The sequence below is a fragment of the Homo sapiens genome, chromosome 1 (genome assembly GCF_000001405.40).
Source record: "Homo sapiens chromosome 1, GRCh38.p14 Primary Assembly".
NCBI lineage: Eukaryota > Metazoa > Chordata > Mammalia > Primates > Hominidae > Homo > Homo sapiens.
This window is the reverse complement of record NC_000001.11, coordinates 212667899-212685682: the sequence shown is the minus strand read 5'-3', so window position 1 is coordinate 212685682 and position 17784 is coordinate 212667899. Positions and strand designations below refer to the sequence as shown.

Below are 17784 nucleotides of genomic sequence, written 5' to 3'. Positions count from 1 at the left end.
CAGGGGTGAAGGACTTGCTGACTCTTGGCTACTCCTCTCAACACCCCCTTTCCTAGGGAGAGTTCCCCTTCCTACTGGAGGCCTGCCTGGTCTCTAACACTCACGGGCTGAAGGCTGCAAACTTGCCCTTGTCAGACGTGTTGGAAGGCTGCTGTTAGAGAACAGGACTCATACCTGCTGGGAGTTCAGGGGCAGAAAGCATGATGCAAGGTTTTAGAACAAGAGACATTAAAATCATCCATTCTGACCCCTCCACTTTGCAGAGAAGGGGCTCAGATGCAGCGAGGGGGAGAGACTTGCTCAAGGTCCCCTGTGGGTGAGCAGCAGAACCAGGCTAAGACCTCAGGTGGTCTCCCACCTGATCCTCTATGAATTGAATCAGGCTGATGTAACAAGGAGGTACTCTGGGTGCGGCTCAGGTAGTGTCTAAATGTGGCCTGTCCTTCCATCTGCACGGTTCAGATGAGCACCCTGTCTGTAATGGTAGGCTTAGAGCCAGGATCCCAGGGGTCTCTGCAGTGGTGAGTAGGAACATACAAAGTGTGTGCCTGGCACGTGCAGGAGTTTTACTGCTGCTGACTTTCAACTCCAGGAATTTGTGGCCCTGCAGGAGTCTCAGCCTGATCCTGCAGAACTTCCAAGTTCTCCCGGCTTGTGGACCTGGACTCTGGCTGACCCGACTTCCAAAATCCAGCTGTCCTGACTGTCCGCTGACCTGCTCCGACCCTTGCGGTTGTTGCTGTTCTACTGCCTGCTCCCCTACTCCACTGCTAACTCAGGGTGTCCAGGCCTGCTGGCCCCGTTGGCCTGCTTATCCTTAAGCCCTATTCAGCCTGACCTCAGGTGTGATCCCCTGGCTCCACATCATAATCCTCGTTAGTCCCCTAGCTTCCATTTGCTGTGCGCCCTCAAGGCCTTGCCATCCCCCAGCCCCTCTATTCTGGCCGGGAGGCTGGGGAGGAGAGGGTCCATGGGGGATGAGGCAAAGGACTATGTCCTGGAGGTGACGGTGTATCACTTCCCCACAGTTCAATGGCCAGAACTCGGTCACCTGGCCCCATCCAGCTACAAGGGAGGTCAGGAAATGAAATTTAGCCAAGGGCTCAGTGGGAGGAAGAATTGGGTTTGGTGAATATCTGTCAGGCTCTACCATAAGATCCAGCCTTTTCTCCCACCCCCTCACTGAAACTGACTCCTTGGAGTTTACCAGTAAGCTCTGGTCACTAAATCTAATGGTCACATCTCAAGTCTTATTTTCCTTTACTTCCCAACAGCCTATGAAAATGGCCTTTACCTTTGTTCTTTGCTCTACCTGCTTCTTCTCAGCCACCATCTGTCTCTATGCTGGTAACTTTCCCATCTGTACCCAGAGCCCAGTCCTCTCTCCAGCGGGCAGCCCTGTGGATCCATCCAGCTGCCTGTTAGGTGTCTCTCGGAGGATGTTTCCAGCACATTCCACTCAACGACTCAACGTGGCGCAAGATACACTCATGATCTCGTCATCTTCCCCTCAAACATGCTTCTCAATCTGTTTTTACCTATTTAATCAAGGGTCCATCACCCACCTGGCTAGAAACCTATTGATTTCTCTGTGTTCCCAAGCTAATCTACCCAGTCCTGTCCATTATGTCTCCTAAATATCTCCCAGATCCAGCTACTTTGCTGCAATTTGTCAATTGCTTTATCTGTGATTGAGAACTTTATTCAAATTAGCCACTGAATCAGGCGTCCTCCTCCCTAGCTGCTGTGTTGAGCTTGAGGTTGAGCTTGAATTTTGGGAGGATCAAGACTGCCTCCACTTTCAATGTGAAAGCAATATATTTGGAAGCAGGGAAGCAAAACTAAGGCAGCCCATGGTGCTGAGGGTCATGTCCCCTCTGAGATAACTGGAGATGGGACCAGAGTCCTGAAAAACAAATGTCCCCTGGGCTACTCCTACCTGAAAAAGTAAAAGTTCTGCAGAGTATAAGCCTGAGAAGGTGCTGTATTCTTCCAGGAGGGACTAGGGTAGTACACAAGGTGCTGAGGACTGGATTTGCGTGGTTCTATTCGTACTGCCGCTGGGCACCAGGACTTGTGCTGGGCATCTGCATCTCAAGTCTCAGAGCGGCTGCCTGCTGGGCTGAAGGAAGGAAGGCAGCCTGAGAAAGGCCCCCTCGGCATAGAAAGTGTCAGAGAGGGAGGAAGTCCTTCCTTCACACCCACACAGCCACACCACTTCCTGTCCGCAATCTCGCCCTGTATTGCACCAGCCAGCCTTGAACCTTGGGGTTTCCATTCAGTAATCAGGACCCAATTTTGACCCCAAATCTTGGTAAAGAATGATGACTCTTAACAGACAGGAAAGCGACAGTCCCAAAAGCCCCTCTCTTCTTTCCCACCAATGCTGGGGTCTCCGCCACCCGGGAGGTATTTACTGACACAGGGCTGTGGGCTTTGCCCCAGCAAGAACTAGAAAAAAAAAAAAAAAAGGGAGGCCCCAGCTCTCAGTGACACACCTTCCCTCCCTTGAGGTCCAGGAAGTCCTGGCAGGGTCATCCGTGCTGCATGAAGGAGGCCTGTAGAAGAGAGCCAGGGAGCAAAAAGAAAGCAAGAATGGAGAGGAGGAAGAGAAGGAAAGAGGGTTGGAAAAGGGAAGGAGGGAATGGGGATCCTTGTTCTCTGAATCTAAATCATCCCTTCTCCTGGGACGGTTTTGCTGAATCCACAGGAGGGTGTGCTGGGGGAAGTTCCCTCACACCCCCATAATGCTGCATAATTTGAGGTTTGGGGGTGTGGCCAACCAAGGCCCAAATCTCGAAACTGTTGTATGCTTGGAGTCAAGGGAACTTTTCTGGAGTGCCCATTTGGAAATGGACCACCTTGATGAAAGCGTCCCACCCTATTTTTGTGAGACAAAGGAGATAGGTGTGGTCAACACCACCACCACGGACATCATCACCATTAGCGTGACCCACACCAAAAGTTTGTATTTAGCAGTGGTAGTGCTCTTGGCGTGGTATGCTTGAAGGGCTTGAACCCTAAGTCCAAGGCTGTGTTCAAGACAAACTGCCCCTTGAAACAGCTCACCTGTTCTCTTGGCTGTTCTAGCATCACCTTTTTCTGGTATGATATTCTTGAGAAGACCAGAAATATCATCACAGATCAGAACGAAGGCTACTAGCACAGAATTCTAACCACAGCCCTGAGGGAAAGTGCAAGGGAGAGTCCATTGTTTGCATTCTACCACACCATCCTGAAAGGCCAGAGATGGGCTCTGGAACTTCCCTGATTTCCCTTAATAACCTGCTACTTATCTATTCATTTCTTAGTCAAGACTCATCTGGAACTGGGTTAAGTTTTCGGTTGCCTTGTGTAGGATATAAGCTTCTGCTGTGCTCTGAATTGGCCCCTGTGTTGTTTGAACTTGGGGGTGGCAGGTTCTTGGACAATGTGTAATCATTACTGTTGCCCAGAAGCCTGAGAGAAAGGACCATTTTCCAAGCATCCTCAGCTTTCACAGAGCTTCCTTAGGCTTTCCTTCAGGCTAATGGCAAGACCAAAAAGTACCTTCCAGAATGTCACAAACCCAGAGAAGGCTCAATTCACCAGGCAGTACTTTCTGAAATTGAGAAAGCAAGAAAGTTTGAGAAACACCAGTGGCGGACAACAACCTGAGGCTGAGAGTGGAAAGAATAAATGAAAGTACCTCCCAGAAGTTCTTTAATTGTTACAGCTAATTTGCAAATTAGCTGTAACCATTTGGAATATCGAATCTTTATTAGTAATAAATTAATTATGCTAATCATAAATCATATTAATTATAAATATTTAAATATTAATCATTTATGCACATTATAAACAATATTACTATCAATAAACTAATAATTTTTATAAAAATAAATACTAATAATATAAAAATGATTAAAATACTGATTAGTTATTAATTTACAAATTATTGTTCAAACAATGAAAGCTTAAGTCCCCATTGTGTACATCGTGGTGAAACAAGACACACAAGGGAAAGACACATCCCTCACCCACATACACCTTAAAGGGTCCCCTTATCATACAACTTCTGAAATCTCACCTCCAGACCTGTCTTGTTTTGGTCAGAGGAAATCTAATGCTTTCCCCCATCTGGTCTGAACAGGGAACATACCTACTAAGATTGTAAGCAACAGGTCAGAGAGTGTTTTATTCATTCCTATATGCCTGCTTGCTTAGCACCATGCCTAGCACATGGTAAGCACTAAAAATAAAAAAAATAAAAAAAAAAAAAATCTGTGTGACTGACTGACTGAATGGGTACTCCCTCCCTAGTTGTCTTCATCCCAGTTAAGCCTTCACCCCTACTCCAACCCCTACAAAATCACTTTCATATTTGTGATATGAATTTCTCATTGTTGTTTCCCCATTTAAGAGCATGGACATAACCTACTTTCTTTGCTCCTATAATTCATCATCTAGGTCAGTTTGCCTGTTGTAAATGTGGAGTTCCCATAAATCAGCAAAGACGTTGCTTAAGAAAGGCCTTGTAATAACAGTGATGAAAGTGACAATAGGTTGATGATGATAATGGAGATGTGAGACAGAAATAGACCCAGGACACAAATCTCTTCAGTTGTTAACTTTAATTTCATTTAAATGCTGTAAATATAGTTATCACATTTCTATCTGTTCAACATCATTACCGTGTAAGTCCTTAATATTTGCTTAGGATTACTTCATTTATCATGTGTGCACAGAGGAGTTGGGTACACAAATCACCCGTGGTCCTGGCCAGAGGAGACAAAAAGCAAGAGAATTTGACAGGCTGGCCACGTAGGGAAAATATGCAAGAGGAAACTATGCATTGTCTAGGGGACACCCCTCAGGTTATCTGATAAGAGTCTTGCAGTGTCTTTGAGCTTTGACAACTCTGTCAATTGTAGCTGATTCAAAACAATGCAAAGTCATTATCTGTAGACATGCAAATTATGTCCTGCCCATAGATGATCAATTTATTTTCCTCCTCCCTCTCCCTTGGAAAGACCAGTTTGCCTCCATTTGCACATTCATATTGATATTCCAAATCCGGAAACATGCCTGTTTTTCAGATTATCTTTTGAACTGGTTACAACCACTTGGCTCCCTCATTGATTAGTGATTTCCAATAAATAAAAGCCTTAACACTTGCATATTTCATGTATAAATAAGAACATGATTTTGCCTTTTTAAAAAATATATTTAAACAGTGTCAAATGAAGCTAGTGTTTTTGGAAGATGTTTATTTACCCCCAAGTGCATAGAGACACTGAGAAAGTCAGGGCATGATGTATTGACTGTGTAATTTCCAAGGAGCAGAGAGTCCCCGAGCCACCTCACCTGTTCTGCTGTCCTGGGCTGCCTTGTCCTGAATTAGGCCCTCATAGCTGCTATTCCTCCCCGTCATTTCTCTCCAACTCCTAAGCACCTTTAGGGCACAAGCTAGACACCGCTTCCTCAGAAGACTTCTGTGATCTCTGACAAATTTGATGAGAGGCTTTTCCCATTTGCTTGCCTTGACTCTGAATCACAGCATGCATCCCGTTATGTTGGTTGGGTTTGTTTGTTTGTTTGTTTTGTTTTTGTTTTGTTTTTTTTGGGGGTTTGTTTTGAGACAGTCTCTCTCTGTCACCAGGCTGGAGTGCTGTGGCATGATCTTGGCTCACTGCAACCTCCGCCTCCTGGGTTCAAGTGATTCTCCTGCCTCAGCCTCCCATTACAGGTGCGTGCCACCATGCCCAGCTAATTTTTGTATTTTTAGTAGAGATGGGATTTCACTATGTTGGTCAGGCTGGCCTTGAACTTCTGACCTCAGGTGATCCACTTGCCTCAGCCTCCCAAAGTGCTGGGATTACAGGCGTGAGCCACCGCACCTGGCCATATTGTTGTTGTTTATTTAAGTAAATGAGTAAACAAATGACTGTGTTCTGATGTGAAAGATGCCACAGCATCTTGTATCCACCTCTTCCAGTGTCTGGTGTCTGACTTCAAGGAGAAAAACGCCTTGGGCCTCAGTGAAATCTTTGTGGTAGCGTTTCCCTTTCCTCTTCCTCAGTGGACGCATCACCTTCTTTCTTTACTATGTATTTCCACGTGCTTGGGAACCCTTGCTAACCACCTGTTCCACCTTTTCTTTTTCTTATTTTTCTCTTTGTCTTTTTTGTTTCCCTCCTTTATCCTCTTTAAATAAACTGCAGAACACATATTTGAACGTGTATTTGTGACCAAACACTTTGAAAGCAGCAAGATCCCAGTCTCTGTCTGTCCTCCCAGAGGACAGGGACACTTCATAGGCACAGTAAGGGAACGAGCAACTCCCTGAGCTTGACCTGTGAGTAACTTTGAAGCCAGTGTGAACAGGCCCTTCCCACCTCCAAAAGAAAACAGTAGCATGTGCTCCTATGAGGCATCTGACCCTGTAGAAACTAGGAAGGTAGAAAACTGTAGAAAACTAAGAGGCCCTCTGGGACCCAGAGCTGACTGAGCAAATCTGTGCACTTACCTGGACCAATTCTCTACATTAATAAGGAGAAAGATGACACATGTTGGAAATATTGGGACCCCCTTTCAAACCCGGATTCCAGAAAGGCTCTGCGGTACAGCCCCATTTCACCCCAGGGCTGTGCAAATGTGGTTGGTGGTCACTGAAGCTTCTTTGCCTCCAGCTTATTGGGTGAGAAAATATGGAATCCTGTGTCTTTAAGAACTGAAACCATCTAGAAACAGGATTTGATACCCTGTAGGAGACAGGAGAACTTCCCTTTTGCTGTTCAAGTTTCATCTTCAGTTATCAGGAACTGAGCAGGGGGCACCAGGACTTGGAGCTACAGCAACACGGGTCTGTGAAACTGCTGCTCTCTGGAGATGAATACTCTTCTTTCTTTTTGAATATACCTCACCACCGTGAAAAGTACGTTTAAGAAAAGTCCCTTGTTGACTCTGCATGTCCCATGGGTTTGCTGGAAAAGAGGAGCATCAGCTCTAGTCCCAGATGCTGGCCAGTCCTAGGCCTCCCCGGCACTCCCCTCGCCCAGCACTACTCCTCTCTGCCTGGGGTCGAGCCACAGTCTGTGCTTGGTGGGAGGGCCAGCTGACTTACAGCAGGGTCAGAGAACTCTCTGTGGAAGGCCACAAAGTTCACTCAACTGAATGGTCCAGCCTACTCATTTTGCAGCCAAAGCAGTCGAGGCCTAAGATGCCAGCAGCATGCCTCCCAGGACGCTCAGTGTGCGTTGGGGCAGGGATCCAAGAGTCCTGACTTCTGTGCTATGGTTTTTCTGTCATTCCTCCGAGTTACCCATGCCCCTGCTTTTACACAGGCTGTGTTCCAGTGTGGCTGTGTTGGTATCTTGCTTGCCCCTGACCCCACACACCTGGTCCCTTCCCTACCGTTCTTTGCTCATGCTCCCCTGATTGCTGGCTTCCAATCGGCATTAGCCAGTGGGAGGCACCAGTTGGAGACTGAGGGGTGAGGAGGGTGGTGATAGAGGATATTTTTTGTCTGCGCCCTCTTGATTCAGAGGCTTGGCCTGGCAGTGGCTGCATTCTTCCAGGGGCCCAGCTCCTCCTCCATGGCTGTAATCTCCACTGGGCCTCAGTAATACCATCCTCTCCCTCTGCCCCTTCCAGCCTCCACGTGGTAATAGCTTCCACTATGGAGAGCTCCTGTGTGCCTCCACATCCCTGGTCGGCTCCCTAACCTGGCTCTCATCCCTGGAAATATCCCTTTATTAAAATCTCGTCAGTGGAACAATGTGAGTAGAATCCTGGAACTGGACTCCACTGGTCAAATTTGTTCCGGCATTCTAAACCAAGGGACAATTGTCTAGAGGCTAACAAAGTCCATGCTAAACAACGAAACCATGGAGAAAATTGCTTTATAGTAGCTCAGAGCCCTAAGATTCAGCAGCTGTCCAGCTAATGCTCAGAGCACAACTTCCTCAGCAGCAGGGTCTGCCCCACGGAGGCAAAACCTAAAGGGCAGCTGGGGTCAGCCTGTCTCCAGCTCTCTGCACTGCTGGACCCACTTGGGAGGACTGAGTTTCTGAGCTCTCTGGAGGGCATATAGAGATCATTTTTCTCTCAACCTCTCTCTCATCCCCACTGCCATGTATAAAACTAATTTGCTTTCCATTTCCCAAATCCTGGAATATGAAATCATTATCCACCCAGCTTCCCAAGCTGGAAACCAGAGTTAATTGGATTTTTTTCTTCCACCAAGTCCAGTTGGTGTTCATGTCCATCCTGTCTTCCATCTGTTCTCCCGTCTCTGTCCCCACAGGCACCACCTTGTTTGAACCCGTAGTTCTCAACCAGGATCAAGCAGGGAGTTTTTTTCAAAAGTCAGTTGCTTACCTGAGCACCCAGATGCTGGCGCTGTTCAGTCACCTCTTTTGGGGAGCCTCCCTCGAGTCACCTAATCAGAGCTATTCTTTCTTCCTCTGTGCCATTGTAGAACCTCATGTGTGTCTCTGTCACAATCTTGGTCTTATTTTTTTTCTATTTTAGATTCATTGTATTATTTTTAAAATTCTATGTAAATTTATATGTCAGAATCAGCTCGTCAATGTCTAAAAACTCCAGCTGTTTTCACATAGGATTGTACTGAATCTATAGATCAATGTGGAGGAAACTGACATCCTGCTAATAGTGAGTCTTCACTATTCATAGATGGTAATACATCTATTCATGTATTTAAATATTCTTTAATTTTTCTGAGTGATTTTTTTTTTTTTTTTTTTTTTTTGAGACAAGGTCTTGCTCCACCACCCAGGCTGGGTGGAGTGCAGTGGCATGATCTCCTAGGCTTAAGCGATTCTGTCGCCTCAGCCACCTGAGTAGCTAGGACTTCAGGCGTGCACCACCATGCCTGGCTAATTTTTGTATTTTTTATAGAGATGGGGTTTCGCCTTGTTCAAGACCCGGGCTGGTCTCGAACTTCTGGGCTCAAGCCATCCGCCCACCTTGGCCTCCCAAAGTGCTGTGATTACCGACAGGAGCCACCATGCCCAGCCTCAGTTATGTTGTATAATCTTCAGTGTAGAAGTCTTACAAATCACTCATTAAATGTATGCCTAAATATTTCATGCTTTCCAAGGCTATTGTAAATGGGATTTATAAAATTTTAATTCTTCAGTTCTTTGTTGCTAGTATATTCATTTTTATATATCACCCTGGTATCCTTTAACCTTGCTCAATTCACTTATTAATTCTAGAAGGGTTGGGATTTTTTTTTTTTTAGATTCCATAGGATTGTCCACGTAGACAATCATGTTACCTGTAATTAGAGAAAGTTTTACTTTTTCTTTCCAACCTTTTATGCCTTTTATTTCTTTTTCTTGCCTTAGACATTGCTAGGGGCTCCAGCACAATATTTCATAGATATGTTCAGAGCAGTTATCCTTTCATTGTTCCCTGTCTTAGGGGAAATCATTCAGTCTTTCACAATTATGTTGTTAGCTGTAGTTTTTTTCAGATTCGCCCTTTGTCAAGTTGAAGAAGTTCCTGTCTATTCTTAGTTTGCTGAGAATTTTTATCATAAAGGAATATTAGTTTTGTCAAATGCTTCTTCTGCATCAATTGAGATGGTTATTTGATTTTCTCTTTTATTCTGTGGAGAATTATTAATACTTGATTGATTTTTTTTTTTTTTTTTTTTGAGATGAAGTCTCGCTATGTTGCCTGGGCTGGAATACAGTGGCAGTTCACAGGTGTGATCAGAGTGCACTACAGCCTCACATTCCTGGGCTCAAGTGATCCTCCTGCCTCAGCCTTTCAAGTAGCTGGGACTATAGACATTGATTTTTTAATGCTGAGTCAGCCTTTCATTTGGTCATGCATATTCATTTTTTATATTGAGGATTCAATTTGCCAATATTTTGCTGAGAATTTTTGCATCTATGTTCATGAGGGATATTGGTCTGTATTCCCCTCCCCTCCCCTCCCCTCCCCTCCCCTTCCCTTCCCTTCCTTCTTTCGACAGAGTCTTGCTCTGACGCCCAGGCTGGAGTGCAGTGGTGCGATCTCGGCTCATGGCAGCCTCTGCCTCCTGGGTTCCAGCAATTCTCCTGCCTCAGCCTCATGGGTAGCTGGGATTACAGGTGCACGTCACCACGCCTGGCTAATTTTTGTATTTTTAGTAGAGAAGGGGTTTCGCCATGTTGGCCAGGCTGGTCTCGAACTCCTGACCTCAGGTGATCCACCCACCTCAGCCTCCCAAAGTGCTGGGATTACAGGTGTGAGCCACTGCACCCAGCCTGTAATGTTTTTCTTAAACTGTTTTTGTCAGATCTTAGTATAAAGTTTTATTTTTTAACATTACAATTTAATTTTTGATCAAAAAATGCATAATTTAAAAATGCAATAGTGCTAGAAGGCTTATGGAACAATTAGAATTACTTTTAGCAACAAACAGCAGAAAAACTCAAAATATTTGTGCTTAAACAAGATATATATATATTTTCTTATAAAAGCAGACTAAGAGGAAGGTAGCCAAGCTGGGAGCAGCTCCACTGTGTCATTAAAGGCCCAGGCTCATTTTCTTTTCTGTTCATCCTTAAGGTCACTTCATACTCCAAGATGATTGCCAGAGCTCCATCCATCAGGTCCACATTCCAGGCCAACAGCAAGAGAAAGGAGAAGAAAAAGAAAAGGGTGTCTGCTCCTCACTTTTACAGAAGCTTTTCCAGAAGTCTCACATGACTTTTCTATGTATGCTTCATTGGGCGTCATTTTGTCATATGGCTACGTCTAGCTGCAAGGAAGGCTGGGAAGCGTAATCTTTCAGCTGGGGATATTGCCCAGGATGCAGTTACTAAGGAAGAAGGAGAGGATGGATGTGGTATTATGCTGAGGAAAAGGAGCCAGGACACAAAAAGGGTACATAGTATATGATTCTAATTCATAGAGACAGAAAACAAGATATAACTTATAGTGACAGAAAACTCATCATTGATTGCACACCAGGATGGAATGAGAAAGTACAAGGAAACTTTTTGGGATAATGGAAATGTTCTGTGTTTTGATTGTGGTGATGGTTATATGAGTATATAAATTTGTCAAAATTCCTCCAATAGTATACTTAAAATGGATGCATTTTTGCATATAAACTATATACATCAATAAAGTTGGTTTCTGTAACTATGGAAAATCCCACTGCTGTAACATAACTACTCTTAAATTTTGTTCATTTTTCTTTGAGTCTTTTTTTATTTGCTCATTTTTACATAGATGACATTGGAATGCACGTACTGACTACGGATGTTCGCTTTTCTCACTTTACATCATAAAAATTTTTCATGCTGCTATATTAATCTTCATAACCATAATTTTTAAATGACTATATAATCCTTTGGGAATTTAAAATGTAATATATACAGACAGTTAAAAAAAAGTCAAAAGTACCAAATAATACACAGTGAAAGTAATTCTTCTCCCAGCTCCGGCCTTTAAGACCCTTTACTTGGTGGCTCACGCCTGTAAGCCCAGAACTTTGGGAGGCTGAGGTGGGTGGATCGCTTGAGCCTGGGAGTTCAAGACCAGCCTGGCCAACATGGTGAAACCTCTTCTCTACAAAAAAATACAAAAACTAGCTGGGCGAGGTGGCGTGTACGTGTAATCCCAGTACCTAGGAGGCTGAGGTGGAAGGATTGCTTGAGCCAGGAAGTGGAAGGATTGCTTGAGCCAGGAAGTCGAAGCTGCAGTGATCCGTGTTCATGCCCCTGCACTCCACCCTGGGTAACAGAGTGAGATCCTGTCTCAAAAAAAAAAAAAGACCCTTTGTTTAGAAGCAGTGGCTATTCCAGGTTCTAAGATATACAACCAGCAATATTCTGTGCACATAAAGGCTATACATGAAGATCGTTTCCTCTTCTTTCAGGCACAAATGAGGTAATACTAGATACAGTTGGCCCTCTGTATCTGAGAATTCCACATCTGTGGATTCAACCAACTGTGAATTGATAATATTTTTAAAACCCAATATAATAATAAATAATACAAATAAAAAACAACATAGTATAACAACCACTACATAGCATTTACACTGTATTGGGTATTATAAGTAATCTAGAGATGATTTAAAGTATACGGAGGATGTGCATAGGTTATATACAAATAGTATATACCATTTTATATAAGGGACTGGAGCACTTTCAGATTTTGGTATTTTTGCGTTGTTCCTGAACCAATCTCATGTGGATAGGGAGGGATGACAGTATTTGCTTTCTCATGTAATACATCCTGGACACTGTCTCATGTTCACACATTGAGACGGGCCCTATACTTTTTAACTACTGCCTAATACTCTATGGCATGGATGTTCTATAATTTATTGAACCAATAATTGGTAAACACTTAGGGTTTTCCCAGTTCTTTTTCTATTATACATGCCACAAGATGTAATGTTGAAGTTTTGAATCAGCTACCAAGTTACAATAGATGCTACTTTCTAAAGGAAGTGCTAGGCTGTATACAAAATTTACTACAAAAGAAATTTAAGACCGGTTACCTGACTGGTGAAACCTCTCAGTTACACTGAAGATATAAAAGAGTGGAGACAGGAGAAGATTGCAAAAGGATTTGTGAGGGCTTCCTCCTTTCCCTGAAGTCAAGAAAGGGGAATCCAACAGGTAGCTCAAGAAATGTCCTTGTTGCTCCTCCTGATCTGGAGGCCAGCTGCCGAGGTCATGGTGTGTGAACCCACCCACTTGATCTGTTTTTGAGGCCAAACCCCAACAAGGTCTAGTACCAGCTGTCCTCAGAACACTACCACTTGCTCAGAGAGAACCAGCCCTTCTAGCATCATTGGGAGCAAAGCAAAAACTCTCAAAGTCAGGCCATTGCCCATGAGGACGATATCCAACAGGTGCTTCTTGAACTTCAATGTGCATTGAAAGCACCCGGAGATCTTGCTAAATTGCAGCTCCTGGACCAGGAGAATCAGGAACTGAAGATTCTGCATTTCAATCAAGCTTCCAGGTGATGCCAATGCTGCTGGTCTACAGACCAAACTTGGAATGTAGAGGACTTACAAATGCACCCCAAATAATACATTCCAAAGCCAAAGTCACTTTATAAAAACATGCTTTTGAGTTATCTCATCCATTCAGAATAATTGAGGTAGGGAAGATATTCTGAAAATTTGAAGAAGTAAATTATTTAAAAATTGTAAAACACAAGTGCCTTTTTAATTTTTTTTGAAGGCTATGTATTTTCATTGCATGGAGTGAGAGAGGTTGACAAGAAGGGGGTTCTGTGAATCTACCTCAATAAAGAGAAAAGCATTATTTGAAATTTCTAGGTCTGTTTTTTTACTAAACTCAAGACCCTTGAAACAACTTGAAAATGCCTAATTCTCTCCCATAGGCTAAAGTGCTACAGCTGATTTTTCATGCTAATAACAGCCATTTTTAGGGTTTTTTTTTTTTAAAAAAACTCTCCTTTATTGTGTTGTCATGTATACATTGAATAAATGAGCAAATAGTTGAGTTCCTTTGCTTATAAATTAGTTCCCTCATAAATGGCACAAAAGTAAGCTTTGGTTCCATCACTAAGTTGTTACAAAGTCCGTGCACTGTCCAGATGAATGACACTTTTCTAAGACCTGAGCCAGCCTGGCACCAGTTTCCTTCCCATGCCCCACATGCCCAAGAATTAGCCAGGGCTGGGGGAGTATGTTCTCCTGAACAAGGCTGAGCAATCATTTTCGCTGCCCCTGCAAAGACAGCTGGTAAGAGCCTGCTTATTATCACCTCCCCCTGCCTGTGCGGGGGTGCGGGTGGGTGAGGAGGGTTGGCAGGGAAGTGAAGAGGCTGCTTCTGGAGCCTGCTAGGTAAATTACTGTGTGGTTTCTCCCTGAGTCATCAGGGCAGGGATGAGGCTGGAGGAGCGGGCTTTTCCTACCAGTATTTGTGTTTTCTTTAGGTGTGAGAGGACACAAATGGCTCTGGCAACCAGGCCCACAGCTGCTGCCTCATTTGCATGACGATTTACACAGCTGAGGCTTGGACGCTCAAGGGTAGGCATTTTTCTAAGGTGTTTAGGCAGACTCATCCTTTATGCATATATATGCAAGTAAGGAGTTGTCGGGGGTGAAGAAGGATCGGGGAACTCTGTTTTTGGCTGTTTCCTCATTTCTGCATTTCCACCAGCGGTGCCAGCTGCTGATGTCATCCTAGCTGTGAAGTTGCAGCATCGAACCAGAGCCTACCTTACGAAGAGCTTTCTGTGGGGCTCTTGGAGTTAGAGAGGAAGGACGTGAAGAGAACTAGTGAGCACAGCCTTGGCTTTTGAGGAACTGACAGGCAGGAGCAGAAGCAAATACAGATCCTGAGAACCCTCATGAAGCAGCTTCTGTGCAAATGGGTGTAGAGGGCACAAGGGTGGTGACCACGTAGAAAACTTGGGTGCTATGGCCTGGGGAAAAGCAGAGATGAATTCACTGTGGCCTCTAGGTCTCAATTTCCTCCTGGTACAGTGAGACTAATAATACCTACCTTGCTCAGTTGCTTTGAGGATTAAATAAGATCATGAATGTAAAATGCCTAGAACAGTGTCTGGCTCTAAGTGGTATCTGTCATAACATCAATTATTATTGATAAGATGAAACCATGGAGCAACCAAGATCCTGTCTTGCATATCCTACTTCTTTGCTGCCTTTTCCTTTGTGAGAAAAGCCTGCCTTGAGCTCCCTTACTCCTTCCAACCTTGGGTTCTCTTTGGGATCTGCAATATCAACAAATGGCTGGACAGACTGCAAGGTGCCATCTGTGGCCCCCAAACAGGACAGGCCAAGGTGTGACTGAGTAGCTCACTTGAGGGTAAAACCTGGGACTTCAGCCTCAGGGACAGCATAACGTCCCACTCTGCAACCAGCAGGTTGTAATGAGTTGGGAAATTGGGGCTCCACGGTAGAGTAGAAAGAGCGCAGAACCAAACTGCTTTCAAATCTCGGCTCTGTCACCAGATGTATGACTTTGAGCAAGTTGTTTAACCTCTTTGTGCCTCGGTTTCTTGATCTGTTAAATGGGGATGATAATATTACCCACCTCATAGGGATGTTGTGTGAATCAAAAGTGTTAACACATACAGTTGTCTCTCAGTATCTTCCGGGGATTGGTTTCTTCGGGTAAAGAGAACCCAAATACTGGCAGGAAAACCTCGCTCCTCCAACCTCATCCCTGCGCTGATGACTCAGGGAGAAACCACACAGTAATTTACCTAGCAGTCTTCATGGACATCAAAATCCAAAGACGCTCAAGTCCCTGACATAAAATGGCTTAGTATTTACATTGACTTATGCACATCCTCCTGTATACTTTAAATCAACTCCGGATTACTTATAATTCCTAATACAATGTAAATGCTATGTAAATAGTTGTTATACTTTATTGTTTAGGGAATAATGACAAGAAAAAAATGTAGATATTCAGTACAGATGTTTGGTTTTTTAAAAATATTTTCTATCCACTGTTGGTTGAACCCACAGACATGGAGGACTGAATGTATGAAGTACTTGGAATTGTACCTGGCCCAGAGTAAACCCAAGACAAATGATCAAATTTGGCTTTTGATCATTTTTGATTGGGGGGTGACTAGGGTGTGAAGGGTGTGTGGCCAGAGGACTGAGGACAGCCGGGTGGGCAGGCAGAGACCTCCACTTGCCATGGTTTATGCGTCTTTAAGGAAGGAAAGGACAAAGATGGTGGCTGGGATGGAGAACGACGCGCTTGTGCAAAGTCAAACAAACCTCCCAAGGACTCTCACTAATATCCTAGGAGCTTCCACAGGATCTCAGGGCTCTGCCCAGGCCACCATCGCCTCATCCTGCAGAGGGAGGATGGCTTGCGTCTGCATGACCCTTCTGTGAACCAGGCCTGCCAGCTGCAGCCTGTGCCGCCCAGCCCTGCTGGCCTGCTCCTCCTCGGGTACATTGGTGCATGAACCTTGCCCTGGGGATGTCTGACGTCTCTATCATTATTTTTCCTTCTTTCCATTTCTGCTTTGCTTAACAAAACTTGCTGAATGATATGTATTAATATTTGATAAGCCATCTTAGGTTATTCCTGGAATAGGCAGAGAATAAAGAAATAAACCACCTAGTTCCTAGAGATTTTAACTTTCTTAAAGTTTTTATAGCAGTGGTTTTCAAATTCATTTTTTTCAGAGGATCCCCCTTTTAAAAAATGAAATCTTTTCTAGAAACCCTACCATATGTAAACAGCCTGATCAGGTTAAAGCAGGGAAAAGGACCTCAGCACCCACTTGCTGCTTACCCCCCGGCCACTCCCTGCCCGCCTTGCCTACCCCCTTGTCCCCCAAGGTGTCTTTACCAAGTCCTGTCTCTGAGGGGCACTGTTTGTAAACCATGAGTCCTTTCCATGGAAATCACACTGCAATGTTTGGTATGTCATTTTGGTGCAAAAATAAGGAAGTGAGATGGTTTCCTATGACCTTTTGGACAATTTCCTAATTATTGCTGCTAAACAGCAATATCTATACCTGCTACATCTATGTCTGCTATATAGACATAAACTGCTAAAGAATGAATATTAGTTAACCTCTAACAGGAAATAACAAAATGAACAAAAACAAAAGTCCTGTTTACCTTTCTATTACAGAAGATAATCATTTGTGAGTTTAAGTAACAATTGAGCTTTAATTATCACTGACAGAATGAAAACAAATAACAGCTAGATGCAGATCTTCAAAGTGAAATACAAACAAAATACAATTCAAAAGTAGTTTAGAAACCGAGTTTTAACTAATAATTAACACAACCTCTACATCAGCTACCCCCAGTCTCCCCCCATACAGGGAATTCTCCATTCCTCAAATTGTCTCTACTTTCCCATCCTTTCATGTTTAACCCTCTTCTCAAATCCCAGCTCCTTCGTGAAGCCTCGTGTGATCTACCTAGTCAAAGCCCAGTGGCACTTTATTAAATACAGTCTTCTCTATCTTAGGGTGTGGGCTTAGTCCCCTCAGTGAGGGGGCTGACGTGGCATCTGGGCCACTTTCACACAGTGGTCAGCCCCGCCGAGCACAGTGGACACCCAACCACTGCTCCTTCCATTCTCTCTCTCATTCTCCCTGGTACTCAAGATGGTGCTGCTTCTGAAAGGGTTAAACTTTATATGACTGTGTTGGTAGAAAGACAAATACATTAAATTCTCTTTCAACATCAAGTTCATTTTTTCTGATTTTAAAAGAAATTAAAATATTTACATAGGCCCCTAAAAGCAAGATAGGCCCTTGGTGATGCTACTGTGCACGTATATAAAGCTGCCACTTTACTAGCTATGTGGACTTGGGCAATTTACTTAACCACTCTAGGCTTTAGTTTTCTCATTTGTAAAATGGGGATAATGATAGCACCCAATTCGCAGAATTAAATGTCAGCTATGACTTGCCTGCATTGCGAAGTTAAAAATAGGGAAACACAAAGGATAATATCTTCTTGATTTCTTTTTATGCTCTGATCCAATATCAAATCTAGCTTTTCAACTTATTTTTGGCAAACATAAACTTCCTATTTCAAAGGAAAAGCACTAGAAAGAACAAATGAAACCAAACCAAAAGCTCTTCCGAGACATCCAAGGACTCTTGCCAAACAGCAACTTGATGAGTTCACAGTAAATGAATCAGAGACATATGGTTTAGATTCCCCACTCAAAGTCCTCAGGGGGAAACAGGAAGGCCGAGGACTCCAGAGAGCAGCTGGCCGTGTCAGCCCCACTCTGCCAGCTGAGCAAGAGATTACGATGCCCTGGAGCCCCT

At 44.0% G+C, this 17784-nt stretch overlaps 10 annotated features.

Moving 5' to 3' along the window:
- Positions 761-1284: an enhancer, noted in NCBI's record as "H3K27ac-H3K4me1 hESC enhancer chr1:212857741-212858264 (GRCh37/hg19 assembly coordinates)". NCBI's record gives its function as "activates a minimal SCP1, AML or CMV promoter by ChIP-STARR-seq in naive H9 embryonic stem cells {active_cell/tissue: H9 hESC(naive)}" and the evidence as "EXISTENCE:reporter gene assay evidence [ECO:0000049][PMID:30033119]".
- Positions 1684-2883: an enhancer, noted in NCBI's record as "MED14-independent group 3 enhancer chr1:212856142-212857341 (GRCh37/hg19 assembly coordinates)". NCBI's record gives its function as "activates an origin of replication core promoter dependent on BRD2, BRD4, P300/CBP and CDK7 cofactors, and independent of MED14, by STARR-seq in HCT116 cells {active_cell/tissue: HCT116}" and the evidence as "EXISTENCE:reporter gene assay evidence [ECO:0000049][PMID:35650434]".
- Positions 1732-2232: an enhancer, noted in NCBI's record as "H3K27ac hESC enhancer chr1:212856793-212857293 (GRCh37/hg19 assembly coordinates)". NCBI's record gives its function as "activates a minimal SCP1, AML or CMV promoter by ChIP-STARR-seq in naive H9 embryonic stem cells {active_cell/tissue: H9 hESC(naive)}" and the evidence as "EXISTENCE:reporter gene assay evidence [ECO:0000049][PMID:30033119]".
- Positions 2262-2411: an enhancer, noted in NCBI's record as "active region_2516". NCBI's record gives its function as "activates an Ori minimal core promoter by ATAC-STARR-seq in GM12878 lymphoblastoid cells {active_cell/tissue: GM12878}" and the evidence as "EXISTENCE:reporter gene assay evidence [ECO:0000049][PMID:35858748]".
- Positions 3332-3391: an enhancer, noted in NCBI's record as "active region_2515". NCBI's record gives its function as "activates an Ori minimal core promoter by ATAC-STARR-seq in GM12878 lymphoblastoid cells {active_cell/tissue: GM12878}" and the evidence as "EXISTENCE:reporter gene assay evidence [ECO:0000049][PMID:35858748]".
- Positions 6628-6837: an enhancer, noted in NCBI's record as "active region_2514". NCBI's record gives its function as "activates an Ori minimal core promoter by ATAC-STARR-seq in GM12878 lymphoblastoid cells {active_cell/tissue: GM12878}" and the evidence as "EXISTENCE:reporter gene assay evidence [ECO:0000049][PMID:35858748]".
- Positions 6918-7017: an enhancer, noted in NCBI's record as "active region_2513". NCBI's record gives its function as "activates an Ori minimal core promoter by ATAC-STARR-seq in GM12878 lymphoblastoid cells {active_cell/tissue: GM12878}" and the evidence as "EXISTENCE:reporter gene assay evidence [ECO:0000049][PMID:35858748]".
- Positions 13439-14051: an enhancer, noted in NCBI's record as "H3K27ac hESC enhancer chr1:212844974-212845586 (GRCh37/hg19 assembly coordinates)". NCBI's record gives its function as "activates a minimal SCP1, AML or CMV promoter by ChIP-STARR-seq in naive H9 embryonic stem cells {active_cell/tissue: H9 hESC(naive)}" and the evidence as "EXISTENCE:reporter gene assay evidence [ECO:0000049][PMID:30033119]".
- Positions 13439-14116: a biological region, named in NCBI's record as "Sharpr-MPRA regulatory region 1202".
- Positions 13822-14116: a silencer, noted in NCBI's record as "tiled region #1202; K562 Repressive non-DNase unmatched - State 20:ReprD". NCBI's record gives its function as "represses a minimal TATA promoter and a strong SV40 promoter by Sharpr-MPRA in K562 cells {active_cell/tissue: K562}" and the evidence as "EXISTENCE:reporter gene assay evidence [ECO:0000049][PMID:27701403]".